At 44.3% G+C, this 5,903-nt stretch overlaps 1 annotated feature.

The window, feature by feature from the left end:
- Positions 2,691–3,218: an enhancer, noted in NCBI's record as "NANOG-H3K27ac-H3K4me1 hESC enhancer chr11:20364173-20364700 (GRCh37/hg19 assembly coordinates)". NCBI's record gives its function as "activates a minimal SCP1, AML or CMV promoter by ChIP-STARR-seq in naive H9 embryonic stem cells {active_cell/tissue: H9 hESC(naive)}" and the evidence as "EXISTENCE:reporter gene assay evidence [ECO:0000049][PMID:30033119]".

Genomic DNA, 5,903 nt, shown 5'->3' with positions numbered 1-5,903 from the left:
ACCAATGAAAACCTGGATTCATTGTTTTTTTGGAGGGTTTTTCATTTCTATCTTCTTCAGTTCTGCTCTGATCTTAGCTATTTCCTGTCTTCTGTCAGGTTTTGGATTTGTTTGCCCTTGTTTCTCCAGTTCTTTTAATTGTGATGTTGAGGTGTTGATTTGAGATCTTTCTAGCTCTCTGATGTGGGCATTTAGAGTTATAAATTTCCCTCTTAACACTGCTTTAGCTGTGTCCCAGAGATTCTGGTATGTTGTCTCTTTGTTCTCATTGGTTTCAAAGAACTTCTTAATTTCTGCCTTAATTTCATTATTTACTCAGGAGTCATATTGTTCATTTTCCATGTAATTGTGTGGTTTTGAGTGAGTTTCTTAATCCTAAATTCTAATTTGATTGCACTGTGGTCTGAGAGACTGTTATGGTTTCAGTTCTTTTGCTTTTGCTGCAGAGTGTTTTACTTCCAATTATGTGGTCAATTTTAGAATAAGTGCCAGTAGCACTGAGAAGAATGTATATTCTGTTGATTTGGGGTGGAGAGTTCTGTCGATGTCTATTAGGTCCATTTGTTTCAGAGCTGAGTTAAAGTCCTGAATATCCTTGTTAATTTTCTGTCTCATTGATCTAATATTGACAGTGGGGTGTTAAAGTCTCCCACTATTATTGTGTGGGAGTCTAAGTCTCTTTGTAGGTCTCTAAGAACTTGCTTTATGAATCTGGGTGCTCCTGTATTAGGTGGGTATATATTTAGGATAGTTAGCTCTTCTTGTTGAATTGATCCCTTTACCACTATGTAATGCCTTTCTTTGTCTTTTTTGATCTTTGTTGTTTTATAGTCTGTTTTGCCAGAGACTAGGATTTGCTTGGTAAATTTTCCTCTATCCCTTTATTTTGAGCCTATGTGTGTCTTTGCAAGTGAGATGGGTCTTCTGAATATAGCACACCAAAGGGTCTTGACTCATTATCAAATTTGCCAGTCTGTGTCTTTTGATTGGGTCATTTAGCCCATTTACATTTAAGGTTAGTATTGTTATGTGTGAATTTGATCCCGTCATCATGATGCTATCTGGTTATTTTGCACACTAGTTGATGTAGCTTCTTCATAGTGTCATTGGTCTTTATATTTTGGTGTGTTTTGCAGTGGTTGGTACTGGTTTTTCCTTTCCATATTTAGTGCTTCCTTCAGGAGCTCCTGAAAGGCAGACTGGTGGTAATGAAATCCCCCTGCATTTGCTTGTCTGGAAAGGATTTTGTTTCTCCTTTGTTATGAAGCTTAGTTTGGCTGGCTATGAAATTCTGGGTTGAAAATTCTTATCTTTAAGAATGTTGAATATTGGCCCCAACCCTCTTCTGGCTTGTAGGGTTTCTGTTGAGACATCTGCTGTTACTCTGATGGGCTTCCCTTTGTAGGTGACCTGGCCTTTCTCTCTGGCTGCCCTTAACATTTTTTCCTTCATTTCGATTTTGGAGAATCTGCTGATTATGTGTCTTGGGATTGATCTTCTCATGGAGTATCTGAGTGGTGTTCTCGGTATTTCCTGAATTTGAATATTGGCCTGTCTTGCTAGATTGGGGAAGTTCTCCTGGATAATATCCTGAAGTGTGTTTTCCAGCTTGTTTGCATTCTCCCGTCTCCTTCAGGTACTCCAATCAATCATAGGTTCGGCCCTTTTACATAGTCCCATATTTCTCGGAGGCTTTGTTCATTCCTTTTCATTTCTCTAATCTTGTCTGCATGCCTTATTTCAGCAAGGTGTTCTTCAAACTTTGATATCCTTTCTTCCACTGGGTTGATTTGGCTATTGATACTTGTGTATGCTTCATGAAGTTCTCATGCTGTGTTTTTCAGCTCCATCAGGTCATTTGTGTTCCTCTCTAAACTGGTTATTCTAGTTAGAAGCTCCTCTAACCTTTTATCAAGGTTCTTAGCTTCTTCGCATTGGGTTAGAACATGCTCCTTTAGCTCAGCAAAGTTTGTTATTACCCACCTTCTGAAGCCTACTTCTATCAATTCACCCATCTCATCCTCTGTCCAGTTCTGCACCCTTGCTGGAGAGGTGTTGCAACAATTTGGAGAAGAAGAGGCACTCTGGCCTTTTGGGTTTTCACTGTTTTTTCGTTGACTCTTTCTCGTCTTCATGAGTTTGTCTAGTTTTGATATTTGAGGCTGCTGACCCTTGGATGGAGTTTTCATGGGCACTTTTTTTTGTGTTGTTGATGCTGTTGTTGCTTTCTGTTTGTTTGTTTTCAATGGTCAGTTCCCTCTTCTGTAGGGGTGCTGCAGTTTGCTAGGGGTTCACTTCAGGTCCTATTCATCTGGTTCGCTCCCATGCCTGGAGATGTCACTCAGTGAGGCTGGAGAACAGCAAAGATGGGTGCCTGCTCCTTCCTCTGGGATCACTGACCTCGAGAGGCATCAACCTGATGCCAGTAGGATCACTCCTGTATAGGGTGTCTGACAACCCTTATTGGAGTGTCTCACCCAGTTGGGTGGCATGGGGAACAGGACCCTTTTAATGAAGCACTTTGTCCCTTGGTGGAGGGAGTGTGCTTCCCTGGGGGGAAACCCACTTGCCTGGGCTGCCTGGATTCCTCAGAACTAGCAGAAGGAAAGGTTAAGTCTGCTGGTCTGCAGAGACTGTGGCCAATCCTCCCCATAGGGGCTTAAGCCTAGGGAGATCAGAGTTCTGTCCCTGAGATCCTGGCTGGAGTTGCTGGAGTTCCTGCAGGAAGGCCCCGCCCAGTGAGGAGGGATGGGTCAGGGTCAGGCCTGAAAAGGCGGTCTGGCTATAGTCTGCCTCAGCTGGTGTGTTGGGTTGTGGGGCACGCCTCTTGGGAGCAAGCCATCCTGCCTCCCTGGCTCCAGCGGGGGCCGGGCGGGGGGGTGGGGGCGGTGTGAAGCGCAGCCTGGAGCTATAGAGATGGCTTGCGTCCTACTCCTGCCCAGGGAGCTTAGCGTGTTAGGCAGTTATCAGTCCCAGTGCTGGCTGCCGCCCCTCCCCCAAGGAGCTCAAAGGGCTTAGACAGTAGGCAGCCGCAGCTGTGGTGATGGTTGCCCCTCCCCGCAGGAACTCAGCAGGCTTAAGCAGATTTTAGCTTACTGGCTGTTGAGAATCTGCATGGCTCCATGGTTGGGACCCTAGGCCCCGGTGGCATGGGTTCATGAGTGGGATCTTCCGATCCGTGGGTTGCACAGTTCCGTGGAAAAAGCACGGTTTCCCCGCTGGGTAGCACACTCGCTCACCACCTCCCTTGGCTGGGGGATGGGTGCTCCCCCGGCCCGTGTGGCTCTAAGGTGAGCTGCTGCAACACACTGCTCTTCCTTCCTCTCTGTGGGTCATGCTAGCCACCTAGTCAGTTCTAATGAGAGAACCTCGGTTGCTGGTGCAGGATTTGCACGCTATTATGGTTCTTTTAAATGGGAACCTCCGATCGCCACTGCTTCTACTTGGCCTTCTTGGCCCCACCCCCAGGAATTTTTTAACCAATATTTGTGGAAAAATATGTTTAAATTCTCATTTGCCCTGACATGTAATCTTATGCAGGCTGTGAACTACATTCTAGGCAAGTGACTAGAAGACATCTAGCAGTTATCTGTGTGCATGTGTGTGTGTGAGTGTGTGTGTGTTTCAAGAGACGGAAGCTACTATGTTGCCCAAGCTGGTCTTGAACTCCTGACCTCAAGCCATCCTTCCACCTCAGCCTCCCAAGTAGCTGGGATTTCAGGTATGTGTCACCACACTGGGCTCTATCTGGATATTTTCAAAGCACATCTGAGTGGATAAAATAGACTATTTCCAATTAGGCTTTTTCCTTTTCAGCCTCAGATACTTGCTTTTGGGGGCCCTCGAGTCTCTTGAGAGCAGAGGAGCTGAAGGTTCAAGTGACTGAGGGGCTGGGGTGGAAAAAGGTCTGGCAGAGATGGACAGAAGAATGGAGGAGGTAGGAGCTTGAAGGGGGACATATCAAAGGATTCAGGAAACTGAATGGAAGATTGAAAGTGGCAAAAGGATGAAGGAGGAGCAGAAGCAAAGGGAAGGCAGAAACTTCAGAGGGGCCAGTTTTGGGAGATCTTAAGTTTCCCCAAGGAGCCAATGGAGTTCCAAATTATCCTCAGCAAAATTGTGCCAACAAGAAGGAGGTGGACATCTAGTCAGCAGGGGCTTGAGAAGGGGATTTCAGTTAAGTGAGAAGTTCCCATGGGAGGAGCAGGATTAAACAGAGAAAACAGAGAAGACTTAAACAAAATTGGTTCCATTAGGCCCTGAATATCAGCTTCCAATTAGGCCAATTTCTGACCATAGATCTTTAAAAAAAAAATTCTTTCAAATATCTTATTATCAAGTTTTAGCTGGGACAAACAGTAAATATCTCTGGCAATACTGAACTTCTTTTTAAAATAATTTTTTTGAAACTAAAGGTATCTATTTCAAGTGACTCAAAACAAAAGCCAATAAGCCTTTTATGACTTACAACCAACAAGACTTTTATAGCTTAACCGTGGACGCAAGAGTCATCTTCAAAGAGAGTGCAAAAAAGGCAGCCTTTCAAGATCCAGACCACTCCCAAAGATAGCCACAAGAAAGACAGACTTAGATGGCCCTTCTTGAGGGCTGGCAACAGTCAGTAAGACATTAGCGGAGAATGAGATGCAACCTACATTTCCATCAGGCCATATTCTCAGGGCCAACAACCTGATGGTTGACTGTCTGCACATTTCCCTGGCAGGCAGAAAGCCAAGCCAAGCTCTCAGGATGCAAAATGAGATAACTAGGAAAGCAGTAGCTGTCTCTGGCATGGAAAGAATCAGTAAACAAGATGTACCTCAAAACCAAGTTAGCCAAATGTGCAAGAATCATAATCCAAAGAACTAATGTTTGCAAGTTTTTCTTCTGCAAATATGAATATGGAAAAGAAAAAGTGACAAGGAGAAATTTTTACCTTTGTCTCTTAACTGGGTGCTACAAACAGAGATCTGAGAAAGCTGACTTTGGGAGAATGCTTACCTTTTTCTGGCTTTTGTCAGTTTCCCTGGATCCCATCAGCAGGATCTGAAATGAGTGAGGTGTCCAGCCGTCCCTTTGTGGTCACCAGAAACTGTAGGGGAGGAAAAATTTCTTTTTATCCTTCTAAGTTCTCAGCTGGGGCCTCTGTAACAAAAGGCAGATTAAGAAGAGAAAAGCATACAAATTTATTTAATGTAAATTTTATGTGACAAGGGAGTCTTCACAAGGAAATGAAGATCAGAAGTGGTTAAACCTGAGCGTTTTTTGATTTGTCATTTTAAGACGGAGTCTCGCTCTGTCACTCAGGCTGGAGTGCAGCGGTGCAGTCTCAGCTCACTGCAACCTCCACCTCCCACGTTCAAGTGATTCTCCTGCCTCAGCCTCCTGGAGTAGCTGGGATTACACGCACCTGCCACCATGCGCGGCTAATTTTTTTTTTTTTTTTTGTATTTTTAGTAGAGATGGGGTTTTGCCATGTTGACTGGGCTGGTCTTGAACTCCTGACCTCAAGTGATCCACCCACCTCGGCCTCCCAAAGTGCTGGATTATAGAAGTGAGCCACTGCTCCCGACCAAACCTGAGTGTTTTTATGCTAGGTTTGAAAAGTCATGGAAAGTTAGGAAAGTTGTGGGAAAATGTGATAGGACAAAAGTAACAAACTGGGGGAAATTTAGCAAGACCTGTTCATTCATATTTCTTTTGGTGTCCCTTCATCTTTAGGAATATGGATATTCCTTTCCTCCGGGTATAGAGTAAGGTACCTCTCACCTGAAGGTCTATAACCTGCTTCAGGATAGAAGGGCAAGGGAAAGTCAGAGAGTTCCTCCTACTGTTTCTCAAATTACTTCAGCTTAAAAATATTCAATATGCCAAGCTCCTATATTTTGGGGTAATGTGTCTTT

This window comes from Homo sapiens, chromosome 11 (genome assembly GCF_000001405.40).
Source record: "Homo sapiens chromosome 11, GRCh38.p14 Primary Assembly".
NCBI classification, from domain to species: Eukaryota; Metazoa; Chordata; class Mammalia; order Primates; family Hominidae; genus Homo; species Homo sapiens.
The sequence above is the reverse complement of the archived record's forward strand: the minus strand, read 5'-3'. Positions and strand labels throughout refer to the sequence as shown.